The 23,503-nt window shown below is 44.7% G+C and overlaps 2 annotated features.

Moving 5' to 3' along the window:
- Positions 21,374–22,190: an enhancer, noted in NCBI's record as "H3K27ac-H3K4me1 hESC enhancer chr4:40271805-40272621 (GRCh37/hg19 assembly coordinates)". NCBI's record gives its function as "activates a minimal SCP1, AML or CMV promoter by ChIP-STARR-seq in naive H9 embryonic stem cells {active_cell/tissue: H9 hESC(naive)}" and the evidence as "EXISTENCE:reporter gene assay evidence [ECO:0000049][PMID:30033119]".
- Positions 22,191–23,009: an enhancer, noted in NCBI's record as "H3K27ac-H3K4me1 hESC enhancer chr4:40270986-40271804 (GRCh37/hg19 assembly coordinates)". NCBI's record gives its function as "activates a minimal SCP1, AML or CMV promoter by ChIP-STARR-seq in naive and primed H9 embryonic stem cells {active_cell/tissue: H9 hESC(naive and primed)}" and the evidence as "EXISTENCE:reporter gene assay evidence [ECO:0000049][PMID:30033119]".

Below are 23,503 nucleotides of genomic sequence, written 5' to 3'. Positions count from 1 at the left end.
GATATTATTGTTTCAACATCTTAGCCTAAATCTCAACTAACACAATGGCAGAAATCACTATGGAGTTTTTGAAAAACAGAGATAAGGCCGGGCACAGTGGCTCAAGCCTGTAATCCCAGCACTTTGGGAGGCTGAGGCAGGGGGATCACAAGGTCAAGAGATCGAGACCATCTTGGCCAACATGGTGAAACCCCATCTCTACTAAAAATACAAAAATTAGCCAGGCGTGGTGGCGGGTGCCTGTAGTCCCAGCTACTCAGGAGGCTAAGGCAGGAGAATTGCTTGAACCTGGGAGGTGGAGTTTGCAGTGAGCCGAGATTGCACCACTGCACTCCAGCCTGGGCGACAGAGCAAGATTCCATCTCAAAAAAAAAAAAAAAAAAAAAAGAGAAAGAAAGAAAGAAAAGAAAAACAGAAATAAATCTAATTTGTTTTAAAAAATGTGCATTATCTGCATGGTAAATCCCTCCATCTTTTGACTTTTGGCAAAATCTGTTACAAACATAAGGGCTTTATGCAAGTGAAAGTCTTGGTAGAAATGAAGGAAAGACACTGGTTTCCACAGCTGGGCTGACAGAGCACAGATCGGGGAAGACACATGCAGGATGGGCCAGAAACTGAAATAATTTCACAGAAGCAGGAGCTCCAAGCCAAAGATTTCCATGATGATAGGAGCTCACCTGAATTCACAGAAATCAGGGAGGCCATGGACTTTGCACAGAATATGAAATGGAAGAATGTTCCAATCCAATCTAAGTCACAGGGGACAGGAGAACCCTGATGGACACCTGGGCCAAAACAGAATAATTAATCCAAGAAGGCAGGAATGTGTAAGAATTAAGAGTACAGATTCTAGAGTTGGACTTGAGGTTCCAATCTCTACACTACCACCTACAATTATGTAACTTGAGGGAAGTTACTTGAACGTCTGTGAATTGGGTATAATAATAATATCTACCTCATAGTGTTGTCATAGAGAAATAAAATGAAGAATATAAATAAAGCATGTAAAGCACTTAGCAGAGTGCTTGACTGAGCAGAATGCCTTGTAACCACCCAATGGGTTCACCTTCCCTACTACCTAGACAGAGCCAGTTTCTCAAGATGGGGGAATTGCAATAGAGAAACAGTAATTCACTCAGAGCCAGCTGTGTGGGAGACCAGAGTTTTATTATTATTCAAATCAGTCTCCCTGATCATTTGGGGATCAGAGTTTTGAAGGATAATTTGGTGGGTGGGGGAAGGCTGGTGAGTTGAGAGTGCTGATTGTTTGGGTCAGAGATGAAATTATAGGGAGTTGAAGCTGTCCTCTTGCAGTGAGTCAGTTCCTGAATGGGGACCGCAAGATCAGATGAGCCAGTTTATGGATCCAGGTGATGTCAGCTGATCCATCAAGTGCAGAGTCTGCAAAATATCTCAAGCACTGATGTCAGGAACAGTTTAGGGAGGGTCACAATCTTGTAGCCTCCAGCTGCATGACTCCTAAACCATAATTTCTAATCTTGTGGCTAATTTGTTAGTCCTACAAAGGCAGTCTAGTCCCCAGGCAAAAAGGAGGTTTGTTCTGAGAAAGGGCTGTTATCATCTTTGTTTTAAACTATAGTTCCTCCCAAAGTTAGTTCAGCCTACACCCAGGAATGAACAAGGACAGTTTGGAGGTTAGAAGCAATATCAAGTTGGTTAGGTCAGATCGCTTTCACTGTCTCAGTTATAATTTTGCAATGGCAGTTTCAGCCTGATACATGATAATGAAAAAATTCACCTTTATTGTTAATGATAGCTAACGAATTTCATCCTAGTACGCATATAAGACCCAAGCTATAATTCAAGGCTCAGACAAAAATCACCAACTTTGAGGCTCCTTTGGCAACGTCATATGCTCAAAGGTTTCTTACTTGACCTGAGGAAGGAGGGTGGGCAGGAGGGTTTCGATCCAGCATGTGAGGTGTGCAGGACATGATCTGGAGCTCCATCGTTCAGATGAGAAAACAAAGTTGAGAAAGGTGCCTGTCAGTCTATTCAGGCTGCTATAACAAAATACTGCAGACTGGATGCTTACAAACAACAGAAATTTATTTTTCACAGTTCTGGAGAATAGGAAATCCAAGCTCAAGACACTAGCAGATGGAGTGAAACTGCTTCCTCCTAGACAGCTGCCTTCATAATCCAACCCCATCAGCAGAAAGAGTGAAGGGTCTCTCTGGGGCATCTTTTATAAGGGCATTAATCCCATCATGAGGGCAGAACCTCACCTCCCAAAGCCTCCACCTCTGTAAGGGGATGAGGCGGAAGGTGAAGATTTCAACCTATGAATTTGGCAGGGACCAGTATAAACAGACCATAGCAGTGCCTGAGATAGCAAGTTAGTGGCAGAACGAGAAGTAAAACTACAGTCTCCATCATTTGAGTTCCAAGACATTTTTGCAAAACCAGATTGAGAACAAAATAATAACACTGATACTGAAGTTTCAGGCTACCTCATACCTCCCTGCTCCTTCCCCCCGTGTCCCTTCTGAGTAAGCTACCCACTATCCTCTCAGCAATTCAGGCAAGAAAACCGCAGTCATTCTGTCCTTCCTGTTTTCCCTTACCCCCTACGTCTAATCAGCTTTCAAGTTGTGTCTATTTCATCTCCAAAATTGCTCTCAAATTCATCTACTTCTTCCCACCTCCACTGCCACCAGCCTGTTTCAACCCGCCCACAGTAGCCTCTTAATTGGTATCCACATTGGCCCTCTCATTTTTCTCTCCTCTTGGCAGCCAAATACATTTTTTAAAACACAATTGTAATCATTCCTGTCCCTGCCTGATGGCTTCCATTGTTTCCCACAGTGTCAGGACAAAGTCCAATCAGCCACCTGGTTAGTTTTAGCTTACAACACTCTCACTGGATTTCTTTTCTTTTTTTCTGTTTTCTTTTTTTTTTTTTTAAGACGGAGTTTTGCTCTTATTGCCCAGGCTGGAGTGCAGTGGTGCAATCTCAGCTTACTGCAACCTCCACCTCCCAGGTTCAAGCGATTCTCTTGCCTCAGCCTCCCGAGTAGCTGGGATTACAGGTGCGTGCCACCATGCCCAGCTAATTTTGTATTTTTAGTAGAGACGGGGTTTCACCATGCTGGCCAGGCTGGTCTCAAACTCCCAACCTCAGGTGATCCACCCACCTCGGCCTCCCAAAGTGCTGAGATTATAGGCATAAGCCACCGCGCCCAACCTCTCACTGGATTTCTAAGTACAAACCACACCAGTTTTTCTGTTTCCAGGACAAAATTCTCTGCTTTTGAATTTTCCCCAGTTTCCTCAGCCTAGGTCTTTCCTTCTCCACCTCCCTTCATCCAGCCAACTCAAAAACATTTTTATCAAGCTCCTAGTATGTGCCAAACACTGTTCTAGGCCACCAAGGTAGTTAAGCTGTTTTGTACCATGAATCCTATTAGTAACCAGGTGAAAACTTACGGACCCTTTATTCAGGCTAAGGCTTTATAAATGCATAAAATAAACAGAGAGGCTTATAAAAGAAGCCAAATGTATTGAAACAGTTACCAAGGTATTTTTAAATTGTGATATAGTAACTTCCTTTTTTTTTTTTGAGACGGAGTGTTGCTCTTGTCACCCAGGCCGGAGTGCAATGGAGCGGTCTCGGCTCAGCTCACTGCAACCTCTGCCTCCCAGGTTCAAACAATTATCTTGCCTCAGCCTCCGAAGTAGCTGGAATTATGGGCACTCACCACCACCCCCAGCTAATTTTTGTATTTTTAGAAGAGACAGGGTTTCACTATGTTGGCCAGGCTCGTCGCAAGCTTCTGTCCTCAGGTGATCCACCCACCTCGGCCTCCCAAAGTGCTGAGATTACAGACTTGAGCCACCGCACCTGGCCTTACATATTTCTTTATTGCAGTAAATAACAAGATCTAGCAATAGGTCTAACAAATACTATAACCTCATAGTAGTGATCAGCATAAATGATATTTCAAGATATCTATAAACCTGTAGCGTGTGACACAGTCCCAAATCCAGTTCATACGACTGTGGTTTGTTGCCTACATTCATGACAGAGGAAATACTAAACTTCAGTTAGGGATTAGTGAAAATAAAGATGCGGGTTTTATTTTTCTATGGAAATTCGTAAAGCCCAAACTCTATCCACAGACCCCAGAGGTTCCCCTGGATTAGTTTAATCCTGGGGAATATACGAAGATATACGAGGAAACCAGACTGACACGGGAACTTACGTTGTGGTTGGAGCAGGCTGATAAATGAGATAATTTTACAAGATAATTGTGATGAGTTGTTGAAGGACAATAAGCAAAATAATTCCAGATGATAATGAATCGTTGAAAGAAAATAAAACGATTGAGATTAACTTGCAACTAGGATGGTTGAGGAGGGTGATTAGAAAAGACCTCCCAGGGCGGGGCGCAGTGGCTCAAGCCTGTAATCCCAGCACCTTGGGAGTCCGAGGCAGGTGGATCACGAGGTCAGGAGTTCAAGATCAGCCTGGCCAAGATGGTGAAACCCTGTCTCTACTAAAAATACAAAAATTAGCCAGGAGTGGTGGCGGGCAGCTACTTGGGAGGCTGAGGCAGGGAATGCTTGAACCCGGGAGGCAGAGGTTGCAGTGAGCTGAGATCACGCCATTGCACTCCAGCCTGGGTGACAGAGTGAGACTCCGTCTCAAAAAAAAAAAGAGAGAAAAGACCTCCCAAGAGGTGACCCCAGCTAAAACCCAAAGGAGGAGAAGGAACTAGTCCCATGAAAAGCCAGGGAAGACTGTTACAAAGAAGGAGACAAGACGAGGCAGGCCCTGGCATAGCAAGGTGACATGATTTGGATCTGTGTCCCCAGGCAAATCTCACATTGAATTGTAATCCTCAACGTTGGATATGGGGCCTGGGGGGAGGTGTTGGATCATGGGGGCATACTTCCCCCTTGGTATTGTTCTCATGATAGAGTTCTTGTGAGATACCGTTGTTTAAAAGTGTGTGGCACCTCCCCACTCTCTCTCTTGCTCCTGCTCCGTGCCTACTTCTCCTTCGCCTTCCCCAGTGATTGTAAGTTTCCTGAGGCTTCCCCAGAAGAAGAAGCCACTATGCTTCCTGTACAGTCTGCAGAACCATGTGCCAATTAAACCTCTTTTCTTTATAAATTACCCAGTCTCAGGTATTTCTTTTTTTCTTTTTTTTGAGACAGAGTCTCGCTCTGTCACCCAAGCTGGAGGGCTGGAATGCAGTGGTGCAATCTCAGCTCACTGCAACCTCCGCCTCCTGGGTTCAAGCGATTCTCCTGCCTCAGCCTCCCGTGTAGTTGGGATTACAGGTGCACACCACCATGCCTGACTAATTTTTGTATTTTTAGTAGAGATGGGGTTTCACTATGTTGGCCAGGCCTGTCTCAAACTCCTGACCTCGTGATCCACCCGCCTTGGTCTCCCAAAGTGCTGGGATTACAGGCATGAGCCACCATGCCCGGCCTCAGGTATTTCTTTACAGTGGTGTGAGAACAAACTAATACACATGGGCCAGGCACCAACTACAGTGTGACCACCTCACAGTGCTGGGAGATGAAGTCAGAGAAGCAGGCACACATCAATCCAAAAGGCCGATGAAGGAAGTCCCTGAGCTCCTACTTGGGTTCCCTTCTCTGGAAAATTAGGATGACACTCACAGCATCCCAGGGTTATTCTGGGAGCCCTTGAGATAATGTGAGTGAAAGGAACTGGTAAACCCACCCTCCCTGGGTGCTCCCCATGGGTCACACGTCACACCATTAATTCTCACAGTTGTCATATGAAGTGCATGCTATGAGGGCCCCCATTTCTCTAAGGGGTTAAGTAATTTGCTTAAGGTCATTTAAGTGGTACATGACAAAGCTAGAACTCAGGCTAAGCTACCTGACTCTCTAAAGCCCTTACACTTGACTTTTTCTACCTCTCGTCAATTTTTTTGTTTTTCGTTTTTTTGTTTTTTGTTTTTGAGACAAGATCTCACTCTGTCACCCAGGCTGAAGTGCAATGGCACAAATTCAGCTCAGTGCAATCTCAATCTCCAGGGCTTAACCAATCCTTCAGCCTCGGCCTCCTGAGTAGCTGAGACTACAGGTGCACACCACCACACCTGGCTGATTTTTTTTTTTTTTTTTTTTTTAGTAGAGATGGGGTTTCACCATGTCGCCCAGGTCAATCTCCTGAGCTCAAGCAATCCTCCCACTTCAGCCTTCCAAAGTGCCAAGAATACAGGCCTGGCCCACATGAACTATTTCAAATCAAATGCACCCACTTCCCCAATTGCTTCCAGAACATGACTGTCCACACAAGATTTTTCCCCCATGCAGAGCAGGGTCTCCAAGGAGGAGAAGCTAAAATCCAAAGCGAGCAGCTAAATGCTGCATAGCCTGAGGGAAGCCACTTAGCCCTCTGTTAAAACCAGCAGAACCATGGCAACCCACTCCCAGAGCCAGGATTGTAAGAGTCCAACAGAGAAAATCAGCCTGAATCAATGCAAGGAGGCGAGGTGTTCCATTCTTTCCAAGGGCAGCCGGCTTGTCCTCCGTCAGCACCCTGAAGGGCTCAAAGCAGCCCCCTCCACAGCCTACCCCTGACCTCTAGGCTTGCTGCCAGCCCGCTGAGGACTCCTCATCCTTCTGTGCACTTGGTCCCCATCCCCTTCCCACCAGAAGGTTCTCTCCTGAAATAGATGAGGGCTAAGACTTTGCAGGGCACAGAATTTTGCTGTGTTCACCTTCCTAAAACAGCCCCAATCCAGCCAGGCAGTGTTTCCTTCCCAGTTTCAGGGAGGTAAGAAAAAGAGGGAGAATCAGGCAGAGGGTGAGGGCTGTGCAGACCTTTTCTCTTTTCCCACTTACTCTGTCTTCTCTTTCTTTTTGCTCCTTTTTTTTTTTTTTTTTTTTTTATCCTGTGAAAGAGAATCTCATTCTGTCGCCCAGGCTGGTGTGCAGTGGCACGATCTCGGCTCACTGCAACCTCCGCCTCCCAGGTTCAAGTGATTCTCCTGCCTCAGACTCCTGAGTAGCTGGGATTACAGGCGCCCACCACCATGCCTGGATAATTTTTTGTATTTTTAGTAGAGGCAGGGTTTCACCATGTTGGGACTGGTCTCGAGCTCCTGACCTCAAGTGGTCTGCCTGCCTCGGCCTCCCAAAGTGCTGGGATTACAGGCATGAGCCACCACACCTGGCCTCTTTTCACCCTTTCTCCAACAACTTGACCTCAGAGCCTTCCCTTCAAGGTCCCTTGGATGATCTCCTTCCAATGGGTGCTTCAGCCTAAAGTATTTGAAATACAGGTTCTTCCCGCTTTGTCCAGGTGTGTGGGGGCAATGTGAGCCCTGCCTCCTCCTGCTGCGTCCAGGATGGGAAAAGGAATCAGCAGTTCTGCGCTCTGGTTTGTTTCAGGCCTTCACCCAATACCCAAAGACGTTGCTGGGCTGTGGGGGGTCATTTCAATGCCCTGGGGGCCAAGTGTTTCCCAGCACCTTGGACCACCTCTTTTAGACCACGTAGTGCATCTTCCTACCTTTTAATTTCACCGTCACCTGCAAGACTGAGGATGCCCCAGAAATGACAGACGGGAACTTTTTACTGAGTCTTCAGCCATGTGCTAAGTGTCTTACACACATTTCCTTGTTTAAACTTCCTGATTATGTTATGAGATGGATACTTGTATTATCCCATTCAATAGAAAACTATTATTTTGCAGGACAGAAAACTAATGTTTAATTTTTCCTAAAGGGATCTTGTTATGTTGTCCAGTTTGGAGTGCAGTGGCTATTCACACGCACAACGATCGTGCGCTACGGCCTTGAACTCCTGGTCTTAAACATCCTCCTGCCTCAGCCTCCTGAGTAGCTGGGACTAGAGAAGCTGATATTTAGGAAGTTTAATAATTTGCCCAAGATCACTTAAGCTTTTACATTCAGGTCATCTAACATCATGCTTTTTACTTCCCTAGATAGGGGTCCATTGGTCAAAGAACGAGTCTAGATCCTTTCCACGGCAATTAGACCAAAGTTTACTTTGGGCCCCAGATTGATTTACCAACCTGAGGTGACGTGGGTACTGTTGTGTCATGGAGACTCTTACGCAGATACGGTAAAATGGTCATAGACTCCTTTGTGAATGGAAAACATGAACTGCCCCTCAGCTTGCTACAGGCGTCCCACGGAAGTGCAGGCTCCACTGACTCATAGGCGTGGCAGACACCTAATGATGGCAGCAGCCTCCTTCTTTGTTGTGGCTTCCCTCTTGAGCTCATCTTGCCAAACTGCAAGAGAGTAATAAAATTCCTTCCATTCAGCCGGGCGTGGTGGCTCATGGCTGTAATCCCAGCACTTTGGGAGGCCAAGGCAGGCAGATCACGAAGTCAAGAGATCGAGACCACCCTGGCCAACATGGAGAAACCCCGTCTCTACTAAAAATACAAAAATTAGCCGGCCATGGTGGCACATGCCTGTAATCCCAGCTATTCAGGAGGCTGAGGCAGGAGAATCACGCTAACCCAGGAGGCTGAGGTTGCAGTGAGCCAAGATCATGCCACTGCACCCCAGCCTGGCAACAGAGCGATACTCCGTCTCAAAAATAAATCCTTCCATTCAACTAAATTCCTACTCATCTCGCCACAGCTCCTCAGGAGGGAGGGAAAACAAAGCAAAGCAAAGGGAGTGAGCGGGGGAGCAGGCTCGCCATAGGTGGGAGGGAGATGGGCTGCACCAACCTGAACAACCTGACACTCTGCCTCTCACAGCTGACGGATGGAAAATATGTGAAGAGGTGGATGACTGCCCTCAAGCTGTGCTCACAACACAACAGACACTGAAGGTTGCCAGGAAAAAAAAACAGACGCTAGGAGATGGAGGCCTCATGTAAAGAAATGGGAGGGGCACTCGTCACGTTTTCATTCCTGGCCTGTCGCTAAGACCCTCAGGACCTAGTTCTCCTCAGCCTGGGCCCTGGCACCATCAGGGCACTTCCTAGCTTCCCTGTCTTGGCATAGTGTTTCCCTTGGGAGGGAAGCAGCCTGAGGGCAGGGTAGCAGCTCTTCATTCCCGTGTGTCCCAGCTCCCACCAGGTGTGCACCCCATATGGCTTAGGACCCTTTAGGGAAATAAACTCATGAAACTCTGAGACCCAGGAGGCAGCCTAAAGAGTCCTTTGAAATCAGACCCGTTTTCTCCTGGGAAACACAAGCCCTTAACCTAACTAAGAAAGTGCAGCGGCGACCAGGCATGGTGGCTCATGCCTGTAATCCCAGCTACTCAGGAGGCTGAGGTGGGAGGATCGCTTGAGGCAAGGAATTCAAGACCAGCCTGGGCAGCATAGTAAGACCCCTATCTCTACATTTTTTTTTAATTAGCCAGGCATGGTGATATGCGCCTATAGTCCCAGCTGCTTGGGAGGCTGAGGTAGGAGGATTGCTTGAGCCCAGGAGTTCAAGCCTGCAGTGAGCTATGATCGTGCTGCTGCACTCCAGCCTCGGCAAGAGAGTGAGACCCTGTCTCAAAAAAAAAAAAAAAAAAAAAGAAAGAAAGAAAGAAAAAAGAAAACAAAAAAAAAGGTGCATGGGACAAGGTGGGGAATGAAGCTACAGTGGGGTAAAGAAGGTGTATGTGTGTGTGTGTGTGTGTGCACATATAGACCCTAATCATAGCACCATTGAGTCCTTTGAGGTAACTGCCCAATAAATAGCATTTCTCTTCCCTACCTGGGTTCTGAACAAGATAAGAAATAGAAGGGAAGAGGTCAGGCTTGGTGGCCCGTGCCTGTAATCGCAGCACTTTGGGAGGCCAATCTGGGTGGATCACCTAAGGTCAAGAGTTTGAGACCAGCCTGGCTAACATGGTGAAATCTGATCTCTACTAAAAATACAAAACTTAGCCAGGTGTGGTAGTGGCCGCTTACTTGGGAGGCTGAGGCAGGAAAATCGCTTGAACCCAGGAGGTGGAGGTTGCAGTGAGCTGAAATTGCACCATTGCACTCCAGCCTAGGCAACAAGAGTGAAACTCCATCTCAAAGAAAGAAAGAAAGAAATAGAAGGGAAGAAAAAGCTGGAGGCCAAATGTCACCTTTATTACTGCTACAGATAGGTAGGAAGACATTGCCTAGTGTGAGAGCCAAATGAACCACAGAATCAAGTGGATCACCAGCCCATTCTCAGGAGTGCTCACCAGGGGTGGGCTGGGGAGATGCTACAGTCCTGGGGGAACTTGCAGCACGAAGGAGCAGGGAGATCACACGCTACCCTTGGCCAGGCCTGGCCGCAAGAGAATAAAGGGAAGAGCTAAACTGAACATACACAGTTGTTTCCTCAAATTTACCAAGTAGATAAGTCACTTCATGTATTAGTCCGTTTTCACACTGCTGATAAAGACATACCCAAGACTGGGTAATTTATAAAGAAAAAGAGGTTTACTGGACTCACAGTTCCACGTGTTTGGAGAGGCCTCACAATCATGGTGGAAAGTGAAAGACACATCTTACATGGCAGCAGGCAAGAAGAGACTGAGAGCCAAGTGAAAGGGGAGACCCCTTATAAAACCATCAGATCTGGTGAGACTTCTTTACTACCGCAAGAACAGTATGGGAAAAACCTCCCTCATGATTCAATTATCTCCTGCTGGGTCCCTCCCACAACACATGGGAATTATGGGAGCTACAATTCAAGATGAGATTTGGGTGGGGACACAGCCAAACCATATCACTCCACTTCCAGGGTGTGGAATGTATAAAAGGGCAAAGAAAGAGACTCCGAGTTATATCAGTGAAGTTCCCTTCAGGGGAGGGAAGAAGTGTGCCCCACAACAAGCATCTGTAACATTGAATCACATGAAGAAAGTGTTCATTTACATAATGTCTCCCACTTCCAACTGTAAGCCCCTTAAGGGAAGAATTGCGATTTATTTATCATTGTTTGTCAAAGTCTTATACTCAGAAGACAAGCAAATGTTTGCTGAATGAATGGAGACCTAGAGTCTAGATAGACCTAAGTTCAGTTCTCCTCAGCAAATTACTACAGAAACTTGAGCAAGTTATTTACCCAGAGGTTGTAAACCGATGGCCCACAAACCACATCCAGCTCTAATATGATCTCTTTGACCCCCCAGTGTCTTAAAAGTTTGTAAATTCGATGAAGCTTTTAAAACTTGGGAGATTTCACATAAAGATCTGGATCTCTGGCTTCTGAAAACTTGGAAGACTTATGGTAGATTGAGGCAAAAAAAATAATGGCCTCAATTTTTCACCCCTCTCTTTGTCTACACACTGTGCAACATCGCTTTCAGTTCTTCCCATAAAGGCTGAATATATCATCCTCCTTTGTCTCTGGATTGGATTTGTGACTTGTCTTGGTCAATAGAATGTGACAGAAATGATAGTTTTTCCATTCTGAGCCTGGACCTAAGAGACCTTGTACACTTCCTCTCTTTCTTTCTTGGAACCTTTGAAGACCCCATGTGAACAACCTTGGGCTGGCCTGCTGAAGGATGAGAGACCATACCAAGTTGTCTCAGTTGTTCCAGCCAAGACTCAAGACATGTGAAGGGACCTAGCCAAGATTAGCAAAGCCAGCCCACCGCTCACCCACCTGCTAACCACACATGCATGAGCAATTCCAGCCAAGAGTAGAAGGCCCAACCACCTGATTCATAGGTTGTAGACAATAATAAGTGCCTATTGTTTTAAGCTACTGAGCTTTGGGGGTAGTTTGTTACATAACAATAACTAACTGAAACACTTGGCCATGTAGGGCCGGCTGTTCCTCATCACAACACTTAACTGGGGCTGGGCACAGTGACTCACACCTGTAATCCCAACACTTTGAGAGGCCAAGGCTGGAGGATCGCTTGAGCCCAGGATCGCTTTGAGACCAGCCTGGGCAACATAGCAAGACATCGTCTCTACAAATAATAATAATAATAATAAAAATTAGCCAGTTATGGTGGCATGCACCTGCGGTCACAGCTACTTGGGAGAGTAAAGTGGGAGAATTGCTTGAGCCCAGGCAGTCAAGGCTGCAGTGAGCCGTGATCATGCTACTGCACTCTAGCCTGGGTGACAGAGTGAGACCCCATCTCAAAAAAAGAAAAAAAAAATCTTAGCTGGGGCTGAGTAGCCCCTTGAGATGAGGCATGAATTTTGCAACTTCCAACTGCATGCCAACCACTATCATCTCAATGACTATACATATTTGTATACCAAAAGAGATTGAGAGAACTGTGTAGTCTAAGAAAAATTAGAAAGTGGAGGAAAAATTTACAGATTGCTCTCCATCTTCATGGGTTCTGCAGCCATGGATTCAATCAACTATTGATAGAAAAGATTTGGAAAACAATATTGCATCTGTACTGAATGTGCACAGACTTTTTTTCTTGTCGTTATTTCCTAAACAATACAGTATAACAACAATTTACATAACATTTACATTGTATTTGGTACTGTAAGTAATCTAGAGATGATTTAAAGTATATGGTAGGAAATGCATAGATTATATGCAAATACCATGCCATTTTATATTAGGAACTTGAGCCTCCCTGAATTTTAGTATCCTGGGCTGGGGATCCTGGATCCAATCCCCTACAAATACCAAGGATGACTGTATGTTCTTACTCTGACTCCCTGTACCTGCTTAATTTCTAGATACACTTCAGTTTGAGCTCTTGTTTTAATCCCCTCAGGCTTCGTCTGTAAAAATGAGGTTAAACACATATGCATCAGAGGATTCTTTAAGGATTAAGTTAGGTTTAGCGAATAACATTGGGGTTTTTTTGTTTTTTGTTTTTTTTTGAGACGGAGTCTCGCTCTGTCGCCCAGGCTGGAGTGCAGTGGCGCGATCTCGGCTCACTGCAAGCTCCGCCCCCTGGGTTCACGCCCTTCTCCTGCCTCAGCCTCCCGAGTATCTGGGACTACAGGCGCCTGCCCGGCTTATTTTTTGTATATTTAGTAGAGACGGGGTTTCACCGTGTTAGCCAGGATGGTCTCGATCTCCTGACCTCGTGATCCACCCGCCTCGGCCTCCCAAAGTGCTGGGATTACAGGCTTGAGCCACCGTGCCCGGCCAGCATTGGGGTTTAATGCATAAATTCCAGAGCTAGACTGCCAGGGTTAAGATCCCAGTTTTGCCACTTACTAACTAAATCCATGCATTGTGCCTACTACTGCCCTGATAGATGTTCAATAAAGCTACTTTTGTTCCTTTCCCTTGTTAAAAATCTTTCTAATCTTCACATTGTTTCAGCATGTTGTTATCAATCAAAGCTAACTTTAAAGGAGATTATTATTATTTTATTTATTTATTTATTTATTTATTTATTTATTTATTTATTGAGATGGAATCTTGCTCTGTTGCCCAGGTTGAAGTGCAGTGGCACGATCTCTGCTCACTACAACCTCCACCTCCTGAGTCCAAGCAATTTTCCTGCCTCAGCCTCCTGAGTAGCTGAGTACAGGTGCATACCACCATGCCCAGCTAATTTTTGTGTTTTTAGTAGAGATGGGGTTTCACCACATTGGCCAGGCTGATCTCAAACTCCTGGCCTCATGTGATCCACCCGCCCCAGCCTCCCAAAGTGCTGGGATTAGAGGTGTGAGCTACCGCACCCAGCCAAGATTATTATTTTAGAGATATACTAAGAACTGATAGAGATAAACACAATGTCAATTTTTTGAGTATTTTACAAGAATTATAAAATTATTATTTATACCTGGTGCAGTGCAGTGGCTCACACCAGTAATCCCAGTGCTTTGAGAGGCTGAGTTATGAGGATCACTTGAGGCTAGGAGTTTGAGACCAGCCTGAACAACATAGCAAGATCTCATCCTAACAAAAAAATTATAAAATTAGCTGGACATGGCCAGGTGTGGTGGCTCACGCCTGTAATCCCAGAACTTTAGGAGGCTGAGGTAGGTGGATCACCTGATGTCAGGAGTTCGAGACCAGCCTGGGCAACATGGTGAAACCCCATCTCTACTAAAAATACAAAAATTAGCCAGGCATGGTGGTACATGCCTGTAGTCCTAGCTACTTGGGAGGATGAGGCAGGTGAATTGCTTGAACCTGGGAGGTGAGATGGAGGCGGTTCAGTGAACCGAGATGAAACCACTGCACTCCAGCCTGGGTGACAGAGTGAAACTCTGTCTCAAAAAAAAAAAAAAAAAAAATTAGCTGGACATATTGGTGCATGCCTGTAGTCCTAGCTACTTGGGAGGCCAAAGTGGGAAGATCACTTGAGCCTAGGCATCCGAGCCTGCAGTGAATTCTGATTCCACCACTGTACTCCAGCCTGGACAACAGAGTGAGACCCTGTCTCTATAAATAAATATACATGCATAAATTAAATTAAATTAAATATTTATTCCTTCTGACTGAGGTACAAACACCTTCTGAAGAGATCCTAGAGAAATAATAGAGGCAAAAACACATGGATATTTACAGTGTCCATTCAAGCAAGAAAAATGCATCCATAAAATAAATATCACTATGGGAAAACATGGAAATTTGTTTAGAAAAAATGTTAAGTGAAAAAAATACACAAAATAGTATGTACACATTAGTTGCAATTCTATTAAAATATAACTACAGTTGGAAAGGGTTGGAAGAGAATGTAGGACAATATAGTTACTGTGTCAAACATGTAAGATTTTAATAAAATAATTAACAAGTATACTATAATTTTAAAATTTGGAAAATATAGGTCATTATACTATCATAATAAGTGTTTAAGTATTTGCAGGGCATGACTCAGTGTATTATAATACATAATTCTATTAGCATTTATGAGTAAATTTAATTTTGAGAATTGGTGTGAATAAGAATAAGCTATTATAAAAGCAAAAAAATTTGTCCCCTGAAGGTCTGCAATTTGAATGCTTACACGCAGAGACTTTTCCTCACTTCCATTCTCACACCTGCTTGCATACCTCCTTGTGGAACCAAATAGAACAGAACAAAATTCTAACACCTCCAGCTCAGATCAAACTATAACAGGCCTGGCTGGGCGCGGTGGCTCACGTCTGTAATCCCAGCAATTTGGGAGGCCGAGGCGGGCGGATCACCTGAGGTCAGGAGTTCAAGACCACCCTGGCCAACATGGTGAAACCCCGTCTCTACTAAAAATACAAAAAGTAGCCGGGTGTGGTGGCACTCGCCTGTAGTCCCAGCTACTTGGGAGGCTGAGGCAGGAGGATCGCTTGAACCTGGGAGGCGGAGGTTGCAGTGAGCTGAGATTGCACCACTGCACTCCAGCCTGGGTGACAGAGGAAGACTCTGTCTCTAAAAAGAAAACAAAAACAAAAACAAACTATATCAGGGAAATAAACTAAGTTTCCATCCTTGACAATTACTCTTAAATGAGGACAGGATGCTGTTCTCAACCAACCAGGTAGAACAGCATAATCCCAGTCTGCCCAGATTTACAACCCTGGCTCCATGCCGTGTGATGGAATATCACACCTAGTGTGTTATGGTCACACTCAGCTTTTCAACATGTCGCCTGTAGCTACAGAAAGAAAGGACCATCTCCCTCCTCCTGGGTGCTAACACTGAGTAGAAGCCCCTTTACCCACTCTGACATTCTTCCACAGGAGGAAGAAGCAAGAACTTATTTGGGTGTGGGTACTTTTGTGGTTTAGGTTAACAATGGAGGAAGAGGGCTACTGAATGAAGTCGGCTTAATTGATTTGATGAGCTTGGTGAAGCTCAGTTCTCTTTTTTTTTTTTTTTTTTTTGAGACAGAGCCTCACTTTGTTACCCAGGCTGGAGTGCAATGGCACGATCTTGGCTCACTGCAACCTCCACCTCCTGGGTTCAAATGATTCTCCTGCCTCAGCCTCCTGAGTAGCTGGGATTACAGGCACCTGCCACCACGCCCAGCTATTTTTTGTATTTTTAGTAGAAACAGGGTTTCACTATGTTGGCCAGGCTGGTCTCGAACTCCTGACCTCATGATCTGCCCACCTTGGCCTCCCAAAGTGCTGGGATTACAGGCATGAGCCACCGCGCCCAGCTTCTCAGTTCTCTTTCTATATCTTGCCAGTTGAATATGGACTCTTGTTTTCCTGTCTTTAACATGGATTAATTCTCTTTTTGCCCATTCCTACTTCACAGTTGGTGGCGATGAAGGCAACTAATGAGTAGTGAGTACCTACTATGTGCCAGGCCCTATGCTAAGCTCTTCATATTCATTTATCTCACTTAGTCCCCACTGAAACCCCATAAGAAAGGTATTTATGGCTAGGCACAGTGGCTCACGCCTGTAATCCCAGCACTTTGGGGGCAGAGGAGGGTGGGTCACTTGAGATCAGGAGTTCAAGATCAGCCTGGCCAACATGGTGAAACCCCATCTCTACTAAAATACAAAAAATATTAGCCGAGTGTGGTGGCTGGCTAACATAGTAAAATGCCATCTCTACTAAAAAGACAAAAATTAGCTGGGTCTGATAGCACATGCCTATAGTCCCAGTTACTCAGGAGGCTAAGGCAAGAGAATCGCTTGAACCCAAGAGGCAGAGGTTGCAGTGAGCCAAGACCATGCCATTGCACTCCAGCTTGGGTGACAGAGTGAGACGCTGTCTCAAAAAAAAAAAAAAAAAAAAAAAATAGCTGGAAGACACATGTTAGAAGAGTAATGAAAAGAGAAGACTACATCTTATTCCTTGTATGCAGTATTGGGTTCCAAAATAAACTTTAATTCTGAAACACTATTCCCTACTTCTTGTAGCATCTAAAAAAAAAAAATTTTAATTGCTCTAAGCCCGTGGAACTTGTAGTCATGCACTACCAGCTCAGAGCACCAGAAGAGACCTTCCTGATTATAGAGGCCAGTGGCCTCCTTTTGTAATTGAAGACAATGGCAGAAGAGCAGGTCACAGTAAGGCCACACAGAGCTCCAGCCCAAGCCTAATTTACCAGGCCTCCTTTAGTTCTCTGCTGGCCCCTTCCGCAGTTTTAATCCCTGTCCAGATGCTTCTTAGAAACACTGAAAATTTTACCTGCCCCTCTTCTCCCTCACTCCCTCCCCCACCCTCAAGCAACCACATCTTAGGGTTCTTGGTCATCATCAAGCGCTCTGTGCCTGCTGGGCTGCCTGTGTTCACAGAGCTCCACATGCAAGTGCAGGAAGGTCTGCAGGTATGAGCTTTGATTAAGCTGAGAGACTCCCCTTAGACTCAAGCTGTCCTCAGCCAACCACAGGCAAGTCTTATTATTCTGCAGCAAAGAGGGTCCTACCACATGTACTCACATTTGAAGGCAACTGCAGCAGAGATGTCAGCAGAACTGGCTGAAAATTGCTTCTATACTCTTTGCACGTTCATGCAGTAGTAGAGATATCATATATAACTGCTATAGTTTGAATGTTTCCCCCCAAAGCTCATGTGTTGGAAACTTAATCCCCAATGCAACAGTGTTAAGAGGTGGGACAGTGTTAAGAGGCTCTGCCCTCATGAGTGGATTAATGCTGTTCTTGAAGAGTGGGTTAATTATCACGGGAGTGGGTTCCTGATGAAATGACATGATCAGCCAGAGCTCTTCCCCACCATCTGTCTCTCATGCACTTGTCTTCTCTTGCTCTTCCACCTTCTGCCATGGCAAGATGCAGTAAGAGACCCCTCACCAGATGTGGGCCTCTTGACCTTGGACTTCTCAGCCTCCAGAAGGTAAGAAATAAATCCCTATTCTTAATAACTTACCTGGTCTGTGATATTTTGTTATGGCAACACAAAATGGACTAAGACAATAACTAAATCAAATACAGAGATCTATAGAAATACAGCTAATGAAGGCTCCATTCTTTAAGTTTTGAGTTAGACAAAACTAAAAATTCTCTATGAGACACACTCCAATCAAGCTTTTGCCAACATCTTTCTGCTAAAACTGCTCTCAGTAAGGTTACTGCTACATTGATAAACGCAATGGATGATTCTCAGTTCTCTTCTACTTGAATCATCAGTAGCACTGGACGCAGGTAAAGACAGGGCCAATTCCTAGATAATGTTACTTGGTGAAGATTCATTCATGCTCTGGTGACAAAGGTTTGGTAATTAACACCAAAATGGACCAGTATTCTTTGTAGTTGTTGAATATATATTTGTGCTTAAGTTAATGGAGTACAGGTCCATCTGTGAAATAGATTCAGTTCTTTTTTCTTTTTTTTTTTTTTTTTTTTTTTTTTTGAGACAGAGTTTCACTCTGTCGTCCGGGCTGGAGTGCAGTGGCGTGATCTCAGCTCACTGCAACCTCCGCCTCCCAGGGTCAAGTGATTCTCTCACTTCAGCTTCCTGAGTAGCTGGGATTACAGGCACATGTCACCACATCTGGCTAATTTTTGTATATTTTGTAGAGACAGGTTTCACCATGTTGCCCAGACTGGTCTTGAACTCCTGAGCTCAAGAAATTTGACCGCCTTGACCTCATGTGCTGGGATTACCTGTGTGAACCACCATGTCCGGCCTAGATTCAGTTCTTAACTATACTTTTTGTCTTTAGGAAGAGCCAAGTTATCACGTTTGTGTAGAGAATTGCTTCAGAGGTGGATTAAGCTAAGAAGATATAGTATTATCAACTACTACCCATACCCTTGCCACTCGGTGAGTCTTCACTATGCATCAGAAACTGCATAGTCTGTAGCAAAGGTCACAGACTTTCTGGAGCTTTCTGTAACCTCACTCCCTGGATTTGAATTCTGGCTCTGAGGCTTATCAATGAAGAGAACAAGAAAGATATACAACATGTAGGGCGTGAGCAGTTGCATAAATTGTTCACTGCATAAAGATACCCAGTCAAGGAGTGAGTGGCAGCTGTAATTCTGCCCACGCTCCTCTCACCAAGCCAGTCTTGCAATGTATCCAGTGCAAGGTAATGTCCATCCACAGGAGAAGTTCTTTGCTTACAGAGGTGCGTCTGTTCAGAGGACACGACATTTTTTTTTCTTTTTTAAAATTTAATTTAATTTTATTTTTTTGAGATGGAGTTTCACTCTTGTTGCCCAGGCTGGAGTGCAATGGTATGCATCTCAGCTCACCGCAACCTCCACCTCCCGGGTTCAAGCAAGTCTCCTGCCTCAGCCTCCCGAGTAGCTGAGATTACAGGCATGCGCCACCACACCCAGCTAATTTTATATTTTTAGTAGAGAAGGGGTTTCCCATGTTGGTCAGGCTGGTCTTGAATTCCTGGACTCAGGTGATCCGCCCTCCTCAGCCTCCCAAAGTGCTGGGATTATAGGCGTGAGCCACGGCGCCCAGCCTGACTTTTTCCAATTTATACAAAGATGCCAAATGACCAAGCAGCAGCCCTGAAACTGGGTTCTCATGAGGCAGAAATTGGAGCTTTTATCCTCAATATAATTTGGTTATGGATCAGTTATATTTAGAACCCCAAAGCCCAGAACACTGCCTGGCACACATCAGCACTCAACAAATATTTGTTGGATAAATGAATATAAAACAATCGGAGGCCGGTGGCTCACGCCTATAATCCCAGGACTTTGGGAGGCCAAGGTGGGCGGATCACTTGGGGTCAAGGGTTCGAGACCAGCCTGGCCAACATGGCAAAACCCTGTCTCTACCAAGAAATACAAAAATTAGCCAGGCGTGATGGCGCATGCCTGTAGTCCCAGCTACTAGAGAAGCAGAGGTGGAAGAATTCCTTGAACAAGGGAGGCACAGAGGTTACAGTGAGCCGAGATCACACCACTGCACACCAGCCTGGGCGACAAAGTGAGACCCTTTATCAAAAAAAACCAAAAAAAGGCCAAGAGCAAGATATAAGTGCTGAGTGTTGAGGAATATAGTTGCACTTCTCAAATTGTGGTCCAGGAACCCCTGGGGTTCCCTAAGACTTCAGAGAACCATGAAGTCAAAACTATTTTCATAATGATACTGTTGACAAACAGAGTCGAACTCTGTAAAATATTTGAAAAGACTTTTTCTGAGCCAAATATGAGTGACCGTGGCCCATGACACAGCCCTCAGGAGGTCCTGAGAACATTGCCTAAGGTGGTCGGGCCGTGGCTTGGTTTTATGCATTTTAGGGAGGCATGAGACATCAATCAAATACATTTAAGAAATACATTGGTTTGGTCCAGAAAGGCGGGCCAACTCAAAGCAGGAGGGCCTCCAGGCTATAGGTGAATTTAAACATTTTCTGGTTGACAATTGGTTGAGTTTGTCTAAAGACCTGGGATAGATAGAAAGGGAATGTTCAGGTTAAGATAGAGATTGTGGAGACCAAAGTTCTTTGGAAGTCTTATAGTGGCTGCCCTTAGAGACAATAGATGACAAATGTTTCCTGTTCAGATCTTAATTAATCTCTTTAGCACTGGGAGGGTCTGGAAGAAAAAAATCTAACTATGTTAATAGAGATTCTTTACATATACAAATTTTTCCCCACAAAGAACAGCTTTGCAGGGCCACTTCAAATATGTCAAAGAAACATGTTTTGGGGTAAAAATATTTTGATTTCTTGTCTGGTAATGTTACGCCAGAGTCAGGTTGGAAAGTAAGTCACGATATATAGTATAGGGTTAAATAAAACCCATCTGATAAGAATGTATGATTCATAGGGCATGACTCCCCAGACCCCTTAGGTAGGAATTTGGGCAAGATAAAAAAAAAAATCAGAGTTTAGTCCTCAATACTAAAGCCTTACTTGTCTATTTCACTCTCATTTTCTACAAATATACAAAGTTCAAAAAGCTCATTGATATGGTTTCAGATTCCGCATCGCAACTAACCTTTCAGAAACTATAACTTAATTTTTGGAATACTATCAAAGAAAAATATCCACAATGATCTGAAAAGGCTATTAAAATACTTCTCTTTGTTCTAACTACATGTGTGAAGCTGAATTTTCTTCATGTATTGAATCCAAGACAACAAATTGCAAAGTGCACCAAATTGAATGCAGAAGCAGATCTGAGATCCAGCTGTCATCTGCTAAGTTAAACACTAAAACAATTGGCAAAAACATAAGACAATGGCTATCTTCTCATCAAAATTTTTTAAGTAAAATATAGTTATTTTTATTTTAAGAATATATTATTTATGCTAACATCTGCTGGGTTTATTATTGTTACTTCGAATTAATATATAAATATTTTATAACTGTTGGGCGTGGTGGTTCACGCCTGTAATCCCAGCACTTTGGGAGGCCGAGGAGGGTGGATCACCTGAGGTCAGGAGTTTGAGACCAGCCTGGCTAATACGGTGAAACCCCATCTCTACTAAAATTACAAAAAAATTAGCAGGGCGTGGTGGTGGGGGGCCAGTAATCCCAGCTACTCGGGAGGCTGAGGCAAGAGAATCGCTTGAACCCGGGAGGCAGAGGTTGCAGTGAGCCCAGATTGCGCCATTGCACTCCAGCCTGGACGACAAGAGCAAAACTCCGTCTCAAAAAAGAAAAAAAAAAAAAAAAAAAGAGAAACAGCTTCCTCTATAGAGGAAGAGGTTTCCAAGCAGAAAGGACTGGCTGGCAGTGAATGCGCAGAATTTTATAGTCCGGTTTGAGGAGGCGGTGTCTGATTTACATAGGGCTCATAAATTGGTTTGATCAGGTATGACATTGACATAGCCGGTGGGGAAGGCTGGTTGCCCCACCTATTTGCATCTTCTTATGCAAATAGGCTTTCCAGCTGATCTGCACCATCTTGTCTGCTTTTTTTCTTTTTTGAGATGAAATCTCGCTCTGTCGCCCAGGTTGGAATGCAGTGGCACTGTCTCGGCTCACTGCAACCTCGGGTTCAAGCAATTCTCGGCTCACTGCCTCCCGGGTTCAAGCAATTCTCCTGCCTCAGCTTCCCAAGTAGCTGGCACTATAGGCACATGCCACCACGCCCGGCTAATTTTTTGTATTTTAGTGGAGACGGGGTTTCACCCCGTTGCCCAGGCTGGCCTCGAACTCCTGAGTTCAGGCAATCGACCCGCCTCGGCCTCCCAAAGTGCTAGGATTGCAGACGTGAGCCACAGTGCCCGGCCCATCTTGTTGGCTCTTTGCAGCACACGTGGCTGGCAGAGAAGGGAATACGGAGCCGCCATCTTGAAAATGTCTAGTCCTTAGTTCCTGCCGGCAGTCACCCCAGTAAGCTCCCAGCTTGCAGGCTGCTCTTTGTTAGAAAATGATTTGGGACTGCTTTTCATTAAAAAGAAAAGCCTTACTGCGGAATCCCATACCCTTGCAATCTGCCTGATTTCTTCTTAACTCCTGTATCACTAATATAAAGCAAACTAGATTATCAGAACCATCTGGAGAACTTTGTGGAAATACAGATTCTAGGCTCCTCCCCTCTACATTGTAATTTGGTAGAGCTGGAATAGAGCTCTGAAAATTTGTATTTCATAAGAACTCTCCCAGTAATTCTGATCATCAGTCATTGGTAGAAACAATAAATATATTAAAAATTTGGAGAAATACAGGACCAAAATCAATTGTCAGACAAGGCTTCAATTATTCAACAAACATTTCTCATGTACAGACTATGTTCCAGGGACCACTGGGACCATTGGACAGACACCAGTGAACAAGACTCAGGCCCTCTTCTAAGAAAGCTCACAGACCAGTGAGCGAGATGGAGGTAGAGAGTTGGAGCACATGGTGTTGTACCTGATAGGGAAAATGGAATGCTATTGGAACACAGAGACAGGGTTCCTCACTTCAGAAGAGCTGACCTCAAATGACACAGAGGATCTAGAGAACCAAGAGGAATGGATGACAAGGACATCATGAGTGATGGCCTAGAGCCAAATGGCTGTGATGCTCCTGTTGTGGATATTGATTTAAAAGCCAAACTCTAAAATACTTTAAGAGATTTATTCTGAGCCAAATATGAGGACCATGACCCATGCATGACACAGCCCTAGGAGGTCCTAAGAACATGTGCCTCTGTGGTTGGGTTACAGCTTGATTTTGTACATTTCAGGGGAGTTACAGGCAGACATCAATCAATACATGTGAAGTATACATTGGTTCAGTCCAGAAAGGCCAGACAACTCTAAGTGGATGTCTTTGGAGGACTTCTAGGTCATAAGTGGATTCAAAGATTTTTTTTGTTTGGCAATGGGTTGAGAGTTAAGTTATTATCTAAAGACGCAGAATCAATACAAAGGAGTGTCTGGGCTAAGATAAGGGGTTGTGGAGATTAAGGTTCTTATTATGTAGATGAAGTCTCATAGGTGGACACCCTTAGAGGCAACAGATGACAAATGTTTCCTATTCAGACCTTTAAAAAGTGCCATACTCTCAGCTAATCTCTTCAGGATCCAAAAAAAAAAAACCTGGAAAGGGAAGAGGATTCTCTACAGAATGTAAATTTCAGCCAGGTGCAGTGGCTCACGCCTGTAATCCCAGCACTTTGGGAGGCTGAGGTGGGAGGATCGCTTGAGCCCATGAGTTCAAGACCAGACATACATTTCTCCCATAAGAGACAGCTTTGTGGGGCCATATCTAAATACATCAGATAAATATATTTGAGGATAAAATAATTTCCTTCAGGGCCTGCTATCTGACATG

This window comes from Homo sapiens, chromosome 4, assembly GCF_000001405.40.
Source record: "Homo sapiens chromosome 4, GRCh38.p14 Primary Assembly".
Taxonomy (NCBI): domain Eukaryota; kingdom Metazoa; phylum Chordata; class Mammalia; order Primates; family Hominidae; genus Homo; species Homo sapiens.
Note: the sequence above shows the minus strand (reverse complement) of the source record. Positions and strands in the feature narration are given on the sequence as shown.